Raw genomic sequence first — 17,990 nt, 5'->3', positions numbered from 1 at the left:
GGCTAACCTGTTGTAAGCCCGCAGCTTTGGGCCTGGTCTCTGCTGCTCCCAGGCGGCCCCTTTGGGTACTGCCTGAGCAAGAAGTGCTGGAGAGGAGGACCAGTCATCAATAGGAGGATGAGATTGGGAGAGACACTCGGTGCAGGAGGCTGAGTGAGCAGGGGAGCACTAAGACCCAGGGGTAGTGGAGGACTGCAGCAACGAGCTGGAGGAGGAGAAGTAAGCGGTGGGGGGTGGGAGCCATCTGGTACTTTGACAGCATTCAAAACAGCATCGGCCATAACAACAGAAATGGCCAGTCAGTCCCAAGGTATCCAGCAGCTTCTGCAAGCTGAGAAGCGGGCAGCTGAGAAGGTGGCAGATGCCAGAAAGAGTGAGTCTCCTCTTTCCTCCCTTAGGAGTTTGGAAAGAAAATTGGGGGTGGGGGACAGCAAACATTTTGGGAAAACCCAAGGCTGGCGGGAAGACAGACAGCTAGGGTCTGGAGGCTGGTTAGGAGGGAAGAAATGGATGGATATTAGAATCTGGCACCTGGTTGGCTGAGAGAAGGCTGTATAACTTTCTGGAAGGGACTGACTCCTGCTATTACATTGTGTGTGTGTGGGTCCATCCCCACTCACTGTCCTTTCTTCTGCCTCCAGGGAAGGCCCGGCGACTGAAGCAGGCAAAGGAGGAGGCACAGATGGAGGTGGAGCAATACCGCAGAGAGCGAGAGCACGAATTCCAGAGCAAGCAGCAGGCGGTGAGTTGAGGCAGAGTCGGGTTGAGACCCCACTGCAAGTTGGTGGGTGCATCTAGTGAGGTGTGTAAGGGTGACTCAACAAGAAAATATGGTGGCAGAGGGCTGAGGCTGAGGGGACCCTGGCAGGGACCACAACATTGGTGAAACTTTGTGATGATATGTAGGAGAGTCTGGGAGTTTTGAAGGCCACATAGAGCTTGTGGGCGGAATGCCACAGTCTGTGTAAAGTATAACATCTATGTGGAGTATGATTAACATTTGTGGTGGAGGGTAGAGTTTTATGGTCATGGATGGTGAGGTGGTGGGGATATTACGGTCTGTTTTAGGATGAAGTTGCATGTTAGGTCTAAGGGGAAAGGGGACTGTGTTGATCTCTTTGGTGTTGGGATATTTCTGTGGGATGGGGGTGGTTTCTGAGAGGGCCTTTCTTCTAGGCTTTGTTTCAGGATCTTTCCCCTCATATGCCTGGACCCTTGTCTGTTTCTGCTTTTCCCTTTCTCTCTTCCACCCCTCTCCCTACCCCCCAGGCCATGGGCTCCCAGGGGAACCTGTCTGCTGAGGTGGAGCAGGCTACAAGGCGCCAGGTGCAGGGCATGCAGAGCTCCCAGCAGAGAAACCGAGAGCGTGTCCTGGCCCAGCTTCTTGGCATGGTCTGCGACGTCAGGCCCCAGGTCCACCCCAACTACCGGATTTCTGCCTAGGGCCACCGTAGGGCCTGACTCCTTCTGCCAGTTCCCTCCCTCAAAGAAATCCTCCAATCAAAATCACCTCCCACCATAATCCCTGTCTTCTTTCCATCCCCTAGAAATCCTGGGAGGCAGGATCCAATAATTTTCCTGTGACACTTATAAATATCCTGCTCACATCTGAATCTCCTTGTTGTTCTTTAACCCTCACTGGGACTTTGTAAACTTCCAAGTCATTCTCACCTAAACCCTCTGTGAAATTTGTAATATGGGGAAGTAGGAATGTGGAAAACATCCTGACTTCAGTGTCTGGCCGATGTGGGTCCCTCTCTTGACCCTGTCACTTGCTGGCTGTGAAACCAGGACAAGCTACTTAACTTGGTAGCCTCGATGTCCTCCTCTGTGAAACTGGGATGATAATAATGCCTACCTTGTGAGGGTTGCTTCAATGATTAGGAATCATTCTGTAAAGTCTAGCACAGTTCCTTGCATGTTGTAGCAGTGATTCAGTAAGTAGCAACCCTGTGATACTATTACCACCACCTGCTCACTGGTCAAAACCTACACAGCTGTTTCCTCACGTCCATCACTGGCTCTCTAATTCCACTTGTTCATTCTGTGACCCTAGTTATTTTCTGAAAAATTGGTTCTTCTCTTTTCCCAGAGACCTTCTGATCTCCAAAAAGAGGAGATGACTACATTTAGCCCCTCTCTTATAATTCCAGGTAGATAACTGCATTTTGTAGCCTCTCTTTGTTTTTCTTTTGCTGATCTTTGTCTTTATTAGATTTTCCTCCTTTCCTATTTCCCCAAAGACTTATCAGATGCTCATTGCTTTCTAAGATCTAAAATGATACTGTGTTCCCTCATATGCATGCCCTTCCTTTCTATATCCTTGACACCTTACTTTCCCATTGTAACAATAAAAAAAGTATCAATAAAATAATTATTGGCAAATAAATTGGTGAGTTGAAGCAGCCTCCTTTTGCCTCATCATTTCTCATTTTCAGTCACTTTGTTTTTTTTTTTTTTGAGATGGAGTTTTGCTCTTGTTGCCCAGGCTGGAATACAATGGCGTGATCTCAGCTCATTGCAACCTCTGCCTCCCAGGTTCAAGCGATTCTCCTGCCTCAGCCTCCCAAGTTGCTGGAATTATGGGTGTGTGCCACCACGCCTGGCTATTTTTTGTATTTTTAGTAGAGATGGGGTTTCGCCATGTTGGTCAGGCTGGTCTCAAACTCCTGACCTCAAGTGATCCACCTGCCTTGGCCTCCCAAAGTGCTGAGATTAGAGGTGTGAGCCACTGTGCCTGGCCTTCAGTCACTTTCTTGTTTTTTGTTTACATATTCCCTAAACAGCCCAAATGGCTATCCTTTGAAACTTCTTGGAGAAACAAGAACAAGTAGTACTTTATTATTTCTCTAAAGTGAGAAACATGGTTCCTCATTTGGGAATCTGAGGACTATAGATCGCAACTGTAGAGAAAAGCTGGAGTGTAGGAGCAAGTGCTCTTTGCCCCTTTACCTTGCATTTTCTTCATAGCACTTACTGCTACTGGTTTTTTGAGACAAGGTCCTGCTGTGTTGCCCAGGCTGGAGTTCCAGCTCACGGCAGCCTTGACCCCCTGGACTCAAATGATCCTCCCACTTCAGCCTCCTGAGTAGCTGGGATTACGGGCGAGTGCCACTATGCCTTGCTAATTTTAAAATTTTTTGTAGAGATGGGGTCTCACTTGCCCAGGCTGGTCTGAAACTCCTGGGCTCAAGCAATCCTTCGGGCTCGGCTTCCTCAAGGGTTGGGTTACAGGCCTGAGCCACTGCACCCTGACCACTTATCGATACTTGACATTATATTTGTGTTTATGTGTTTTCTTTCCTGTAATGTAAACACTGTGAGAACAGGGCTGTTCACCGTTGTGTCCCCAGATCCTAGGACAACATGTGGCACAAGGGAGGCAGTTGATAAATACTTTTGAATAAATTAAATGATACTTGGGAAAATACCTTCTATGACACCATTCTTGAATTAGTTACTTCATTTGTCACTGAAGACAAGCTTACTTCACCAAGAATTTGAACCAATAAGGTAACCTGCAGTGTATTTACTAACCAGATTCTTTGAGCAGGGAGGCAGAATACAATAGAGAATGAGAGATGTTTGCATCCTGGCTGTAACCTCACCAGCCGTACTGCTTGAGATATGTTGCTTTGCTTCGCTTCTGTCAATAAGATGAGAATAACGGTACCTACTCCTTAGTATTAAATGATTAAGTATGTTAACAGGGAGAGGGCCAAACGTTTGTTGTTTTATTACACAGCAGGACATCAGGTCTTACTTTTGTAGCTCCCCATCTCAAAGACGGGGATAGCAAATGTTTCATTCAGGAAAAAAATCCAGGTTGAACAATGGGGCTGTTGGGGCGGGGCCAAGAACATTCTGCTCGAATTAACAGTATTAATGGGCCGGGCGCGGTGGCTCACGCCTGTAATCCCAGCACTCTGGGAGGCCGAAGTGGGTGGATCACCTGAGGTCATACATGGGTGAAGCCCCGTCTCTACTAAAAAAACAAAAATTTGCTGGGCGTGGTGGCGGGCGCCTGTAATCCTAGCTACTCGGGAGGCTGAGGCAGGAGAATCGCTTGAACCCGGGAAGCAGCGGTTGCAGTGAGCCGAGATCAGGACATTGCACTCCCGCCTGGGCGACAGGGCGAGACTCTGTCTCAAAACAAAAACAAAAACAGTATTAATGGAATGTAGTATAACCCTCAAGCCCTACTATTAACACTTGGGGCCGAATCCAGACCCCGTCTTCCCGCTCGGATTCAGAACACCTTCCTGACTCACTGGCCCTAGGGCATCAGCTACCTCGGACAGCATCCTTTTGGGAAAATACCGCCCACCAGCCCCACGACTGGGAAAGAGTCGGGAAACACCCCCGAGCAATCCAGTTCCCTGAGACTTCCCTCCTCCCTCCCCTCAGCTAGGGCCTGCCGGTTCCTAGTGCGTGCCCAGCAGTCCTCAGGTCACCTTCACTACCGGGCCAAGGACCCCGTGGGAACTCGCAGCCTTCGCCACACTCGTTCCTCGCGCATCCATGGAGGGGTGCCTACAGAGAAGACCTGCGTGGCAAAAACCTAAACGAAGAGATGAGGGGCATGGAGAGGAGTAGGATAAGAGAATAAAGATAACAGTGGGGGGGAGACGTTAGTTTCCTTTATATCTTTTGTTACTGGCGGTAGCAGTGAAGTTAGAAACGGTTTTAAAACAAATTTCAGACAGGCATTTTCCAAAGGCAAGCCTGGAGCGCACGGATCTGTATAACCGCGGAAGGCCCTGTTTCCGGTCCCTTGCGCCTGCGCTCTTGCAGCCAAGAAGGCGGGAGGCTGGAGTAGAGGGAAGCCTGCAACCGGAAGTGAAGGCAGATTTCCCTCCTTCGTCGCTGTTGCTGCCGCCATACGCGCTCTCCCTGTTTAGGTAAGCTTTGGCCTTCGCTACAATCCGTTTCCATCTGCGCTTCTCCGCACCCATCCCGTCACATGGGTTCCTGATACCCTTTTCACAGGCGATGGTCTGGTCGCTGGGGCCTAGTTGGTTCGCTATTTCCTTAGCTTGCATCCCTTTCGAGAGCAAAGAGCTCCTGGGGGAAGGAAGGGAAGCTAAGGGGGGACCCAATCCAAGATGGTGTCCTCGGCGCCATTGTGTTCGTTTTGCTCCCTTCTTCCAATGGGTTCTTCTCATATTGGAGGCCTCAGCATCAATGAGAGGCGGCGCTCGGCGTCCCTTGGTCTTGGTATTTGCGGAGGGCGGGGCTCTTCTCACCTTCCTTGTCCTTTCTTGAGCTCTTTCTCGGCCCTCGGTGGGACTGGGAGGAGGAGCTGGTTTCTGGGCCCAGTTGGATTTTTCTCACCTTGACTTGCCCAACTTAATTTGGAGTGCCTTCCAAGTGTTTACGATACGATTGGTGTCATTGTATGTTTCTCCAAAAGGAGTCTCACCTTCGTAGCGTAACAGTGATGTGAGACCACTTGGTAAAGATCCTGTTAAAGCCTGGGCGGGGATTGCCTTTCTCTGTCACCTATTAGCTTTCTTATTGTAGGGTGGAGACATGAATTTTGTTTTTTTGTGGCCGAGCCATTTGTCTTGCACCGCCCCTCCCCCCCATGCTAATTACACAAGGCTTGCTTAAACAGCGGAAGGGAGGATACTGAGAAGTGGGAGGCTGAGAGCTATGGGAGGTGGACGGCGGCCATATGATGTTTTCTTTTCGAAAGGTGAGCGCTTTGCGCAGTGATGACCCTCATCTATCACCCTTGACTGATGGCTGCTGAGTTAGGCATCCATAACGGTGGGATTATAATAGGGAAAGCGGAGTCTTCCTTTGAGGACTTTTCAGGACTCTACTTGTCATCTCCATTTTCCACTTTACTAAGTTATTAGTCGTATTTTACCTTTTATTATCTATTCTATTTCCTCACTGTTACTTTCAGATCAAGAATTTATAAGTTGGTCTTCCCCTTCCAACTTTTCTGGTTTCCGCTACTGTGATTGCTAATCTTGTTGGGAACCTCTGTCCTAACCACTTTCCCTGGTACTGCTTTTTCTGTTCTGTTATATTTGCTTTTCGTTTTTATGTTTTGTATCTGTTTTTCTTTCCAGGTAAAAGTTTCCTGGTTTAGGGAAAGTGGGAACTGGGGATGGAAAAGAGGTGGTGAAGGCTGTGCTCGTGATTAAGTCTTGCTTTTTTTTTTCCCCCCTCCAGCTCTTCTGTTAGAAATAGTATCTTTGTTTTCCTTTGCTGTTCCTCAATCCCCTACTCTTCACCCCTTGTTTTCACCTATTTTGCGAGAACCCATCCAGATCCCCCTTCCCTTCTTCCCCTGCCGGCCCAGTTATGGCAGAGAACGATGTGGACAATGAGCTCTTGGACTATGAAGATGATGAGGTGGAGACAGCAGCTGGGGGAGATGGGGCTGAGGCCCCTGCCAAGAAGGATGTCAAGGGCTCCTATGTCTCCATCCACAGCTCTGGCTTTCGTGACTTCCTGCTCAAGCCAGAGTTGCTCCGGGCCATTGTCGACTGTGGCTTTGAGCATCCGTCAGAAGGTAAATTTTCTCTTGGGCATGTAGTGCTCATTGGGCTCTTTAAGGGTACAATACAAAGATGTGTTTGTCGTTGCTCAGGTGGTGGTAAGGGTTTATACTTAAGGCTAGATCAGGGCCAGGTGCAGTGGCTCACGCCTGTAATCCCAGCACTTTGGGAGGCCGAGGCAGGAGGGTGGCCACTTGAGCTCAAAAGTGCAAGAGAAGCCTGGGCAACACAGCGAGACTCCTGTCTCTACAAAACGTTCAGAAATTAAGCAGGTGAAGGTTGAGGCTTCAGTGAGCCGTGATTGCACCACTGTGCACCAGCCGGGGCGACAGTGAGGAAGAAAAAATCAGGGGATAAGTATCAAAAACAATTTTGGATAGAGGAGGCTTATACAGGCTTATTCTTTCTTTCGTGATAGCACCAAAGTGCTAATGATCCAAAAGTGACTTCCAGGTCTGCCATTCATTCTTGTGACTGGCTTTTCTTGTCTGCTTATTTTTAATTTTGTCACTTGACTTCTAATTTTAAATTTCCAGAAAGGTCCTGCTTGGACCTGTAGTCTCCCTCTGTTGGGCCAGGCCAACTGTGGTCTCTGGAAACCTCTATGACTGGTTTAGAGATGACTGGCTTCTGGGTCAGGTACCAAGTCCTTCATTTTGTCCAGGGTTGTAGTAGTTACGTGACCCGAAGTATAGCAACCTAAGCAGGAGAAGTGGTCTGTGGCAGGTATTCAAATGTCATGAATTGTTACAGATTAAGAAAAATAAGGACAGAGCTAGGATCATTGAAGGTGAGCGGTTGGTAGATGCAAGGGGTTTGTTACTAGGACTGGGAAGGCCTAGATCTGGAGGAGGCTAAAGCTAGGAGGAATTAGGAGAGTCTGATTTTGAGGTGAATGTAATTGAGCAGAGAGAGGTAAAATGGGTCTGGAAGTTGGCAAGAACCAGGTAAATACTAGACTTTGAGAATTGAGTGGTAAGAAATGGGCTTGGCATGGTGAAAAAGGTAGAGTTATCTGGAGACTGAAGTCTAATTTATCTTCCTCCCCCCCCAACTTTTAGTCCAGCATGAGTGCATCCCTCAGGCCATTCTGGGAATGGATGTCCTGTGCCAGGCCAAGTCGGGCATGGGAAAGACAGCAGTGTTTGTCTTGGCCACACTGCAACAGCTGGAGCCAGTTACTGGGCAGGTATATTTGGGGAGAGTGCTGGGGAGGGGATTTTGGTTAGGACTATAAGGGAAGGGTGTTTTTGTCCTAGCTACATGATGCTTGCAGAGCCATGAGCACATGACCTCTGTTACCCTTGACAACCTGACAGCTGTGGGGGATGTTCTGTCGCAAGCGTGGGGTTCATGATTTAGATCACATAATTGAAGTCATTTATTATCGGCCCAGGTGTGTTTTTGTGACAGTCACTTCCCTAGAGGGGATAATGAAGAGCTACATTTACCATATGTCTCCGTCTACTTCCTGCCTAAGGTGTCTGTACTGGTGATGTGTCACACTCGGGAGTTGGCTTTTCAGATCAGCAAGGAATATGAGCGCTTCTCTAAATACATGCCCAATGTCAAGGTAAGCCAAGGTAAAGAGACCTGAGAGTGAGGGTGTGGCAAGTTGGAGGGATAAGAAACTTGTAGGCCAATAGTCTCTTTAATTTTGGAGAAGCTTTAGTTTGCTGTGGTGTAACAGAGTGTTGAGTTCCTATGTAACAGGAGGATTCGTAATTGGGCTATGGATGATGCTTAACACAAGACCACCCTTTTCTTACTACTTTATACTGACTTTGAATCATATCAGTTTAATAATTTTGGGGTATGTGGCAGAGAAAGCCGGAAACTTTAAAACAGCTCCAGTGGTGTGTGAATATTGAGGATTCTGGCCAAGTGCACAATGGCTTACACCTGTAATCTCAGCAGTTTGGGAGGCCAAGGCGTGTGGATTATTTGAGGTCAGGAGTTTAAGACCAATGTGGCCAACAGGATGAAACCCTCTCTCTACTAAAAATGCAAAAATTAGCCGTGCATGGTGGCACACACCTATAGTCCCACCTGCTTGGGAGGCTGAGGCAGGGGAATCGCTTGAACCCAGGAAGCAGAGGTTGTAGTGAGCTGGGATTGTGCCATTACACTCCAGCCTGGGTGGCAGAGTGAGACTCCCATCTCAAAAAAAAAGAAAAAATCTGATTGAAGTTAAGCATTTTTGGCAAGAATCCTTCATAGGTGATACTGTATCTCCTGTTATGCCACAAATCTGGTCGACTTATGTTAGTTATTTTATTTTATTTTTATTTATTTGTTTTGAGATGGAGTCTCGCTGTGTCCCTCAGGCTGTGAGTGTAGTGGCGCGATCTCAGCTCACTGCAACCTGCGCCTCCCACGTTCAAGCGATTCTCCCGCCTCAACCCCCCGAGTAGCTGGGACTACAGTGTGCCATCATGCCTGGCTAATTTTTGTTTTTTTTTAGTAGTGACAGGGTTTCGCCATGTTGGCCAGGCTGGTCTCGAACTCCTGACCTCAAGTGATCCACCCACCTCGGCCTCCCAAAGTGCTGGGATTACAGGAGTGAGCCACTGCACCTGGCCTCATTAATGATTTTAGATTTACCATAGGATTAGCGTCGTGACAGTCTGATTCCACAGTTGTTCTTTTCCCCCTTGAAACCAGAAAGTAGTTTCTGGTGTTATTTGATACTGTACCAAGGCCCAGATCCCCAAACAACTATTCACCTAATGGTTTTAACATGAAATGATAATATTTAGCCCGAAGCAGTAATTTCATGGGGTTTGTGTGAAAAGAGTTTGAGATTCTGGGTTTATTTAGGAAACCTTAATGTTCCATGTGTTTTTTGTGGTACTTTACACTAATCTGGTGATTTCTTGCTGTCCTTTATTTATTTATTTTTTATTTTTTGAGATGGAGTCTCGCTCTGTCATCCAGGCTGGAGTACAGTGGCTCAATCTCGCCTCACTGCAATCTCCACCTCCCGGGTTCAAGCGATTCTCCTGCCTCAGCCTCCCGGCTAAATTTTGTATTTTTTGTTTTTTAGTAGTAAATTTGTAAATTTTGTATTTTAGTAGAGATGGGGTTTCACCGTGTTGGCCAGGCTGGTCTTGAACTCCTGGCTTCAAGTGATCCACTTTCCTTGACCTCCCAAACTGCTGGGATTACAGGCGTGAGCCACTGGGCCTGGCTTTATTTTATTTTTATTTATTTTATTTCTTTTTGAGATGGAGTATCACTCTTGTTGCCCAGGCTGGAGTACAACGGTGGGATCTTGGCTCACCACAACCTCTGCCTCCCAGGTTCTCGTGCCTCAGCCTCCTGAGTAGCTGGAATTATAGGCGTGTGCCACCACACCTGGCTCCTTTATTTTTTAAATGAAGCCTGGCCTCATAAATGAAGGAAGTTGGTTAGATTAAGTCAGTAGAACTGAATTATTGTCCTGACTGCTCCGACTAGCCATGTAACTTTAGGCAATCACCCTCAGTGTTTGGTGGGGGGGACATAAAATTTTTAAATTAGGTGCCCTCTAAAGTTAGTTTTAGTTTGGAAACATGCTAAAAATTGGTTTAGCTCAAACAGAGTGGGAACCCTGGGGGGATTGGACTCTTTCCTTCCTCTGTTTTGAGACTCTTTGCTTCTGGCTCGGCAGGTTGCTGTTTTTTTTGGTGGTCTGTCTATCAAGAAGGATGAAGAGGTGCTGAAGAAGAACTGCCCGCATATCGTCGTGGGGACTCCAGGCCGTATCCTAGCCCTGGCTCGAAATAAGAGCCTCAACCTCAAACACATTAAACACTTTATTTTGGATGAATGTGATAAGATGCTTGAACAGCTCGGTGAGTGGCAGTGCTGGGGCTTGGCTAATGCTGGGGAGTTGTTCTTTGGAGCCAAATGATGTTTATTTGAAACAGGAGCACCTCAGTGCAAGGACGACTCTTATCTATCACCCATGACTGATGGCTCTGGGTTCCCTGGTTGGTCTTTATTATGCTTTTAAGCACAGTAAAGGGTGTCATCTATCATCTTTCTATGATTTTTGTTTTTAACCTTTGAGAATAGGGGACTTTGATAATTTTAGGCATAAGTCATCACCACCACCACCGTTTTCATTATAGATTCATATACTGGGAGTCATAGCGGAGATTCTAAACTGAAAGAGAAGACAGTACCCTTCTGGCATCTCCAGCACAGCATTTACAGTCAGAATTTATAGCTGAATAAGTGTCTAGACTCAGGTCTGGGATTAATGTAGAGAGTGTTTGTAGCAGTTTGTGTGATGTGGTATTCTAGTGTGCCAGGTGGGGTTAATGGAAGATTTTTCTGTAAGAATTGAATCTTGGTGAATGAGAGTGGGGTTGGACATAGGCCCCATAAGTCATTACAAATGATCTTTGGCAATTCTATATGGTGAGCTATAAAGGTGGGCTCCAGGTAGGGATGTCATATTTGCCTGACTTGATAGAAAAGTAATCCAGAGAGTCATAGATGGACTCTGATATCTGGAATATAATATGTGCTTGATATTTGTAGTCTGCTGAAGGCTGGCTGGGGCTTGGGCAGGAAAGGGTTGGGAGAAGGTCCCATAAAGCATGTTTTGAAGGCCTTGAGAGCCTCTGCACTGGGCTTTATCCCCATTTCATAGTTGGGAACTTTGGGGTTTTACCTTATTTCTTGCTTGGTTAAAACAAACAGCTGGAATCTGATCCCACTTCTTGATTCCAAGTCCATTGCTCTTTCCATTGTGTTGTTACTATTTCCAGCAATCTTCACCTCACTGGGAAGTCTACCTCTAATCTTTGTTTATCATACCTGCTTATTTTCTCCTACAATTTTTTTCCTTGTTCTTGTAGACATGCGTCGGGATGTCCAGGAAATTTTTCGCATGACCCCCCACGAGAAGCAGGTCATGATGTTCAGTGCTACCTTGAGCAAAGAGATCCGTCCAGTCTGCCGCAAGTTCATGCAAGATGTAAATACCCTTCTACCTTCTCTCCCTCCACTCCCCGCCCGCTGCCTCCTCCCCTTCCTCGCCCTCTTCCTCAGACTCCCTTGTCATTCAAGTGCCAAGAAGGCGGCTTGTGCCCAACTGGGAGTAATGACTCCTTGAAGAGACATACAGAAGCAGAGACAGCTAGTGTTAGGGCCTGCGCGGGTGCCAGGGAAACTCCGGAAGACTTGGTCGGGTTAATGTGAGAGCGGGTAGTGTTCGACTTTTTCATAAATCACAACATTTTTGAACCTCTTCTCCCTTTGGGGGAGGGCAGGATTTTTCTGCCCTACCACCCACCCATCCATCGTCTCTTACATGCACCCTACAGCCACGCACCCTCAAGGTGGCATCGAGCGTACAGCTGGAGCCTTCTGCTCACCAAAACTCCTACTTCCCGGTGGCAGGAGAGCAAGAGAGGGACAGACAGATGGCAGGGCATGTCCAAAAGAAGAGCATCAGCACAAATGAATCCTCCCCTTCCCCACCTCCAGGGGTGGGGGCCTTTGGCACCTCAATCCCCGATACCCTACTCCTTCCCACCCACATCTCCTTGCACCCATCTGGAACCTCGGTTGATGTGAGCCGGCAACAGAGAAGCACCGTGGCGCGGCGAGGGAATGCAGACGGCACCCAGCGGTGGATGGCGGCAGCGGAGGCCGCGGGGAAACCTGACCAGGAAGCTGAGGACCAAACCAGCCTCTTTTTCCGTTCCCGGTTTTTTTCCTGAACCCAACGCGTGCCGTGCCCCGTTTCCCCCAATATGTGTTGGGGAGGGGTGTCCTGAATGGGGTGGTAGATTTTTTTTCTTAAAAAAATTTTTTTGTTTTTTTTAATACTCAGAGGAGAGGGACATAGGAAAGGTAAAGTGGATGTAATCGGGTGGTTGTTAGGGTTTGGGGCTAGGTGGGGCCAATTGCATAAGCAGTGGAGTGTGTTCTTCCCCTCCCTGCAGTGTTCCTTCCCGTGGGATGATCACTCTTTAGCTGTATTTGGGGCTAGAATGAGATTTGAAGGAGGCCATGGAACTTCTCTTTAGAAAGCCTGCCTTGGCTGGGCCTGGTGGCTCACCTCTAATCCCAGCACTTTGGGAGGCCAAGGTGGGAGGATTGCTTGAGCCCAGGAATTTGAGACTAGCTGGGGCAGTGTAGTGAGACTTTGTCTCTACCAGAAAAACCGGGCGTGGTGGCGCATGCCTGTAGTCCCAGCTACTTGGGAAGCTGAGGCAGGAGGGTTTGCTTGAGCCCGGGACGTGGAGGTGGCAGTAAGCTGTAATTGTGCCACTGTACTCCAGCCTGGGTGATAGAGAGAGACCCTGTATCAAAACAAAACAAAAAACAAAACCTGCCTTCTGGGATTGGGCTTCTGGTTTTTTTCCCATGACACACGCATCCTTTCCTATTTTGTCCTCTGGGTCTTCATATTAACTATCTTCCCCCAGGATAGTATAAAAAGTGTTAGGAAAGTTGGGCTTTGGAGTTGTGGTAATTTCTGTCTTTGTTACTTTCCTCCCCTTCAGGGGGTTTTTTAATTTTAAAGATGAATGCAGTGAGGTATAATGGTGTGTGCCTGTAGTCCCAGCTATTCAGGAGACTGAAGCAGGAGGATCACTTGAGCCCAGGAATTTGAGGCTATAGTGTGCTATGATTGTGCCAGTGAATAGCCACTGCACTCCAGCCTGGGCAACATGGTGAGATCCTGTCCCTTAAAAGTGTATCTGCTGCTCTGAATTTGGTATTTTAACACCACTTACTGATACCTTTCCTGTAAACCTGTAGATGGTTTAATTCTTAGTCAAGAGACCAGTCTCATCTAAAACTATCCTGTTGTGGTCTGACGGCAAGTAACTCATCTTGAGTAATTTTTGTTTCTCCTTAAGTGGCATTTTGACTGTCCATTGCAGCATTCTGATCTTAAAAGACATCCACTTTGCTAATGCACACGAGATTCTCTTAGTTGAAGTAGGAGAATCAAATGGAGCAGTTGTCCTCCCCCCACCCCATGTTCTTAGAAGCACCTCTGATGGAGTTATTCTGACCTTGAGTCACTGCCTCCCATCATTTCCCAGATGTTTGGTCCTTGCTCTCCCTTTGAGAATCATCTCCCATTTTCTTTCCTCTCCCACCTCTATTTGAGGTAATGGCATCTGTGCCATTGGGTGGTTTCACTGCTCCTTGACTTCATTTGCAGTTTCTTTCCCATGATAGTTTTTAGTTGGGCAGTCTTAAAACTCATCTGATAGGAAGGAAATTAGATGTAATGTGAGAGAGACCACAGTAAAATGTGGGTATTTTTGGGAGTGGGGTGGGGTTTTCAATCTTCTCTTTCCTCCCCATCCCCCCATGGGGTGTATTGGAGATCAACTTCCTCCACCCCCCCAGGTTTAACCCCCCCACTCTGCCCTCCTCCCGTTCCCCACCCCCTTCCTCCCCCCCAGCCAATGGAGATCTTCGTGGATGATGAGACGAAGTTGACGCTGCATGGGTTGCAGCAGTACTACGTGAAACTGAAGGACAACGAGAAGAACCGGAAGCTCTTTGACCTTCTGGATGTCCTTGAGTTCAACCAGGTCAGTTAGACGTCCAGTAGGGGGATGAGCATTGGAGCACTCCAGCTGTAGCAGAAACCTGGATATTAAGTACACTTTTATTGAGGAAATCACATGTGTGATGTGGGAGAGAATAATGAGGGTATAAATATCTTAGGGGCTGAGCATGAGTAAGGTGGGAGCTGCTTTTCTATTCTATGGCTGGCACGGGTATGTCCTCAATAACCTCAAGGAAAATAAACTTCAAAAATTAAGATCCTTGGCCAGGCACGGTGGCTTATGTGTGTAATCCCAGCACTTGGGGAGGCTGAGGGAGGTGGATCACTTGAGTCCAGGAGTTTGAGACCAGTCGGGGCAACATGGCGAAACTTCATCACTACCAAAGAAGAAAAAAATTAGCCAGGTGTGGTGGTGTATGCCTGTAGTCCCAGATACTCTGGTGGCTGAGGTGAGAGGATAGCTTGAGCCCAGGAAATTGAGGCTGCAGTGAACTATGATTGCACTACTGTGCTCCAGCTTGGGCAACAGAGTGAGATCTTGTCTCCAAAAGTCCTTGAAGGATTTTAGGAAGTTGTTAAAAGTCTTGAAACGATGTTTGGGGGCATGTTAGGGTTCTTGAATGTTTAATTCCTCTAATAACTGCTTATTCAAGAGAAGCATTTCTGACTGGGTGCAGGGCAGTGGCTCATGCCCATAATCCCAGTACTTTGGGAGGCTGAGGCAGGAGCATTGCTTGAGCCCAGGACTTCAAGACCAGCCTGGGTAACATAGGGAGACGCCCGTCTCTACAAATAGTAAAAATAAAAAATAAAAAAAGTAGCTGGGCGTGGTGGTGTGCACCTGTGGTCCCAGCTGCTTGGGATGCTGAGGTGGAAGGATCTCTTAAACCCAGGAGGGTGGAGGCTGCAGTGACTTGCGATTGCACCACTGCACTCCAGTCTGGGGGACAGAGTGAGACCCCATCTCAAAAAAGTGTTTAATTAATATACTTGTGAGTGGTCTATTTGCATTTAAAACTGCTTTCTAGAATTAGGATAGCTCCCTTAGGTTTAATGTTTTGGTGAGCAGGAATATCAGTTACCCCTCCAGATCTTAATTCTAGTTTTTTATCACTTTTTCATGAGGTGATCTCATCCTCATCTCCTAGCATGTCTGGCAATTTTGATTTCTGAACTCTGTGCTACCTCAGAGGCCAGCTTCCTTAGGGAAAAATCAGTGCTGAAGTAAAGTTATATTTCCTTTTCTGCTCTAAATATATAGTGGGGGAATAAGAGAAATGAAGAGGAATTCCTGAGAACGTAATTACTAGAAACTCCCCTCTCCCACGTAATGTCTCTCACACACCATGGACCCCTATTCCCCCAATTTGCGACCCCCCACCCCACCCCACAACAGGTGGTGATCTTTGTGAAGTCTGTGCAGCGGTGCATTGCCTTGGCCCAGCTACTAGTGGAGCAGAACTTCCCAGCCATTGCCATCCACCGTGGGATGCCCCAGGAGGAGAGGTGAGCTGAAGATGGGAAAGATATTTTGTGTCCTTGGGAGAAAAAGACAGTTGAGAGAAGGGAATCTCAACATGTTTTAAATTTCCTTTCTCACAAAGGCTTTCTCGGTATCAGCAGTTTAAAGATTTTCAACGACGAATTCTTGTGGCTACCAACCTATTTGGCCGAGGCATGGACATCGAGCGGGTGAACATTGCTTTTAATTATGACATGCCTGAGGATTCTGACACCTACCTGCATCGGGTAAACCTCACAGGCTGAAAAAATCCCACTCTCCCATTCCCTTGTTTTCTGTTTGTACATCTTCATTCCTGCCTCTGGGTCTCTTTCCTCTTCGGTCTTCCAGTGCTACCCTCTGTCTCCCTCCAGGTGGCCAGAGCAGGCCGGTTTGGCACCAAGGGCTTGGCTATCACATTTGTGTCCGATGAGAATGATGCCAAGATCCTCAATGATGTGCAGGATCGCTTTGAGGTCAATATTAGTGAGCTGCCTGATGAGATAGACATCTCCTCCTACAGTGAGTACTGATCTCATGAAACCCTTTAGGTCCTCCCTGTTCCTTAGTGTGTTTGTCCGAAATCCCATCACATAGGTCATGGGCATCTGATGCATAATGGACACTTGACTGGTTCATGCCCCCTGGTCTTTGATGCTGTGTTGGGATGTTTTTCTGACCTTTATGTGGGGTGTCTTGTCTTCTCTCATCATATTACATCCCTTCCCTCACCCCCACGTCCGTCCTCTGAACCCAGGCAGTACACCAGTGTCTGCATGTGTGCCGTGTGTTCCTGCCTCACTTTCCCCTTTTCATGCCTTATTCTGACCATGCTACGTTTTCTTCTCAGTTGAACAGACACGGTAGAAGACTCGCCCATTTTGGAATGTGACCGTCTGTCCTTCAGGAGAGGACACCAGGGTGGGGGTGAAGGAGACACTACTGCCCCCACCCCTGACAGCCCCCACCCCATGGCTTCCATCTTTTGCATCACCACCACTCCTGAACCCCCATTTCTGATTTGTCAGAATTTTTTTTTAACAAAACTAAAAATGAAACACATGTGTCTGTGGTATCTATAAGTGCTTCGTCCCTTTATTGTATTTGGGGTGAGGTTATTTTAGGGCATGGTCCAGGGTGAATTCCTATAAGGCCTGGGTGCCCTGCCTGCTGTGAGATCAAAGGGGAATGGGACTAAGACTGCAGAGCCCTGGCTCCCCCACTGCCTGCCAATTGCCTGCGCTTTGTGGTCTCTTCCACTTTCTCTGGCCTGGGAAGACGCTGGGGTGTTTATGATCCCAAGGCTCCTGGTGGGTGGTGCGTGTATTTTCAGCGCCGGAGGGTGCTGTGGGCACTGGGGGAAACTTAGGCGCCTCCTCCAAGGCTCTCTTGGTGCCTCCTCATCTGTTCCTTCAGCTTCTGGATCTTGAGCACCAGGGCTTGGGCCTCCCAGGCTCCCTCCTGCCCTTCAAGGAGGGCCTGGTACAGCTCCAGCTGCTGCTCCAACAACTCTTCAGCTCGGGCCAGCTCAGCTGTGCGGTGGGTCCCAGGGCCCTGGTCAGGGAATTAAGGGAGGGAGCATCAGCCAGGGCAGGGGGCTGAGGCCCTGGGAAGCTTTGTTGCAGGCTGTGGCTGGAAGTGAGAAATTCCACCTTCCCTATTCGTTTTTGAACCGGTCGTTTAAGGACACCTGTACTGAGAAGGCCAGGTAGCTTCCTGTCTTGGGCATAGGCCTCTGGGTGGTAGTAGGGGGAGCAAATAGAGTTCCCTGGCCCAGGGGCTGTAACTGGCTTCCTTGAACAAGGATATGGGGTCACTGGAAAGAGGATCAGCTGCTCCTCCCCGCTAAGAAATAATTAACTGTTAGGTGAGGGGGAATAGATCCTGTTCAAGGACTTTGTGGACTGTGCTGTTGTGGGTGGGGGTGGGGTGAGGGAAGGGAACCCTGAGGTCTGGGCTGGGGGAGGTGGGGAGAGGAGTTGGTAGCTGAACTAAGAAAAGAGCTGCAGGGGTAGGCATGGTGTGGGGTGGTGCAGGGTGGGATTGAGGGTTTTTTTTTCCCACACCCCAGTGTAAATTCTCACACCCTCTGTTCCTACCTGTGGTGCCACTTACCCTGGGAGGGGACGTCATCTTCCCATTTCCTCTGGAGCTGGTCTGCTCTTCCATGCTTGCTTTGGGGTTTTGGGAGCAGCACCCATGGGAGCCCTGGGGTGCCAAGGACCAGGAGGGCAGAAGGAGGCGAAGGAAATGGTACCGAGAGAGCCAGGGCAGAGGGAGGACCATGGCGGGTGACCTGGCAGGGAGCTGTGTGAGCTGTCCAACGGCCACCAGGAACTGGTTCGCTCCAGGACTTGGCCTCACTTGAGTGCCTGGCCCTGCCCAGGCCCCAGCCCCCAGCCCTGCCCCTGCCCCTGCCCCACTCTGCCCCACGTCTCTC

At 48.4% G+C, this 17,990-nt stretch overlaps 3 protein-coding genes, 2 long non-coding RNA genes and 2 other non-coding genes across 12 annotated transcripts, besides 5 other annotated features; 5 read left to right on the top strand and 2 right to left on the bottom strand.

Moving 5' to 3' along the window:
- On the top strand, nucleotides 3–16,632 carry ATP6V1G2-DDX39B (ATP6V1G2-DDX39B readthrough (NMD candidate)). The gene is made up of 13 exons (NR_037853.1): nucleotides 3–373; nucleotides 642–742; nucleotides 4,703–4,901; nucleotides 6,187–6,529; nucleotides 7,577–7,704; nucleotides 7,996–8,088; nucleotides 10,168–10,351; nucleotides 11,366–11,484; nucleotides 13,940–14,071; nucleotides 15,446–15,555; nucleotides 15,654–15,798; nucleotides 15,925–16,072; nucleotides 16,401–16,632. It is a non-coding gene; the product is annotated as an ATP6V1G2-DDX39B readthrough (NMD candidate) (long non-coding RNA).
- ATP6V1G2 (ATPase H+ transporting V1 subunit G2) lies at nucleotides 109–2,407 on the top strand. 3 transcript variants are annotated; one of them, NM_138282.3, is made up of 3 exons: nucleotides 109–219; nucleotides 642–742; nucleotides 1,270–2,407. In NM_138282.3, exons 2-3 carry the CDS (start codon nucleotides 683–685, stop codon nucleotides 1,441–1,443), a joined length of 234 nt encoding a protein of 77 aa, NP_612139.1. In that variant the 5' UTR covers nucleotides 109–219; nucleotides 642–682; the 3' UTR covers nucleotides 1,444–2,407. The 3 variants fall into 3 exon arrangements, with proteins under 3 accessions (NP_612139.1, NP_001191007.1, NP_569730.1); NM_001204078.2 differs by lacking the exon at nucleotides 109–219 and adding an exon at nucleotides 243–373 and having other exon boundaries at nucleotides 642–664; nucleotides 1,312–2,407; NM_130463.4 differs by lacking the exon at nucleotides 109–219 and adding an exon at nucleotides 243–373.
- Nucleotides 210–709: an enhancer, noted in NCBI's record as "H3K4me1 hESC enhancer chr6:31513919-31514418 (GRCh37/hg19 assembly coordinates)". NCBI's record gives its function as "activates a minimal SCP1, AML or CMV promoter by ChIP-STARR-seq in primed H9 embryonic stem cells {active_cell/tissue: H9 hESC(primed)}" and the evidence as "EXISTENCE:reporter gene assay evidence [ECO:0000049][PMID:30033119]".
- DDX39B-AS1 (DDX39B antisense RNA 1) lies at nucleotides 3,713–4,547 on the bottom strand. 2 transcript variants are annotated; one of them, NR_133674.1, is made up of 2 exons: nucleotides 4,455–4,547; nucleotides 3,713–4,146 (listed from the first exon to the last, which is right to left on the bottom strand). It is a non-coding gene; the product is annotated as a DDX39B antisense RNA 1 (long non-coding RNA). The 2 variants fall into 2 exon arrangements; NR_133675.1 differs by having other exon boundaries at nucleotides 3,713–4,142.
- Nucleotides 4,191–5,106: a silencer, noted in NCBI's record as "fragment chr6:31509522-31510437 (GRCh37/hg19 assembly coordinates)". NCBI's record gives its function as "represses an EF-1alpha promoter that drives an FKBP-Casp9 reporter gene in an ReSE screen in HepG2 liver carcinoma cells {active_cell/tissue: HepG2}" and the evidence as "EXISTENCE:reporter gene assay evidence [ECO:0000049][PMID:32094911]".
- Nucleotides 4,191–5,418: a biological region, named in NCBI's record as "MED14-independent group 3 enhancer GRCh37_chr6:31509210-31510409".
- Nucleotides 4,219–5,418: an enhancer, noted in NCBI's record as "MED14-independent group 3 enhancer chr6:31509210-31510409 (GRCh37/hg19 assembly coordinates)". NCBI's record gives its function as "activates an origin of replication core promoter dependent on BRD2, BRD4, P300/CBP and CDK7 cofactors, and independent of MED14, by STARR-seq in HCT116 cells {active_cell/tissue: HCT116}" and the evidence as "EXISTENCE:reporter gene assay evidence [ECO:0000049][PMID:35650434]".
- Nucleotides 4,420–5,341: an enhancer, noted in NCBI's record as "NANOG-H3K27ac-H3K4me1 hESC enhancer chr6:31509287-31510208 (GRCh37/hg19 assembly coordinates)". NCBI's record gives its function as "activates a minimal SCP1, AML or CMV promoter by ChIP-STARR-seq in primed H9 embryonic stem cells {active_cell/tissue: H9 hESC(primed)}" and the evidence as "EXISTENCE:reporter gene assay evidence [ECO:0000049][PMID:30033119]".
- DDX39B (DExD-box helicase 39B) lies at nucleotides 4,848–16,625 on the top strand. Of its 3 annotated transcripts, none has more exons than NM_080598.6 (11): nucleotides 4,848–4,901; nucleotides 6,317–6,529; nucleotides 7,577–7,704; nucleotides 7,996–8,088; nucleotides 10,168–10,351; nucleotides 11,366–11,484; nucleotides 13,940–14,071; nucleotides 15,446–15,555; nucleotides 15,654–15,798; nucleotides 15,925–16,072; nucleotides 16,401–16,625. In NM_080598.6, the coding sequence occupies exons 2-11, from the start codon at nucleotides 6,319–6,321 to the stop codon at nucleotides 16,415–16,417; spliced, it is 1,287 nt and encodes a 428-aa protein (NP_542165.1). In that variant the 5' UTR covers nucleotides 4,848–4,901; nucleotides 6,317–6,318; the 3' UTR covers nucleotides 16,418–16,625. The 3 variants fall into 3 exon arrangements, 2 of the variants coding, with proteins under 2 accessions (NP_542165.1, NP_004631.1); NM_004640.7 differs by having other exon boundaries at nucleotides 6,187–6,529; NR_037852.2 differs by lacking the exons at nucleotides 7,577–7,704; nucleotides 7,996–8,088 and having other exon boundaries at nucleotides 6,187–6,529.
- Nucleotides 5,673–5,750, top strand: SNORD84 (small nucleolar RNA, C/D box 84). Its single transcript, NR_003065.1, has one exon. It is a non-coding gene; the product is annotated as a small nucleolar RNA, C/D box 84 (small nucleolar RNA).
- Nucleotides 10,402–10,477, top strand: SNORD117 (small nucleolar RNA, C/D box 117). The gene has a single exon (NR_003140.1). It is a non-coding gene; the product is annotated as a small nucleolar RNA, C/D box 117 (small nucleolar RNA).
- Nucleotides 16,619–17,889, bottom strand: MCCD1 (mitochondrial coiled-coil domain 1). Its single transcript, NM_001011700.3, has 2 exons — nucleotides 17,666–17,889; nucleotides 16,619–17,104 (listed from the first exon to the last, which is right to left on the bottom strand). The coding sequence occupies exons 1-2, from the start codon at nucleotides 17,834–17,836 to the stop codon at nucleotides 16,916–16,918; spliced, it is 360 nt and encodes a 119-aa protein (NP_001011700.2). The 5' UTR covers nucleotides 17,837–17,889; the 3' UTR covers nucleotides 16,619–16,915.
- Between the last annotated feature and the right edge of the window lie 101 nt (nucleotides 17,890–17,990).

Source organism: Homo sapiens, chromosome 6, assembly GCF_000001405.40.
Source record: "Homo sapiens chromosome 6, GRCh38.p14 Primary Assembly".
Lineage (NCBI taxonomy): Eukaryota > Metazoa > Chordata > Mammalia > Primates > Hominidae > Homo > Homo sapiens.
The sequence above is the reverse complement of the archived record's forward strand: the minus strand, read 5'-3'. Positions and strand labels throughout refer to the sequence as shown.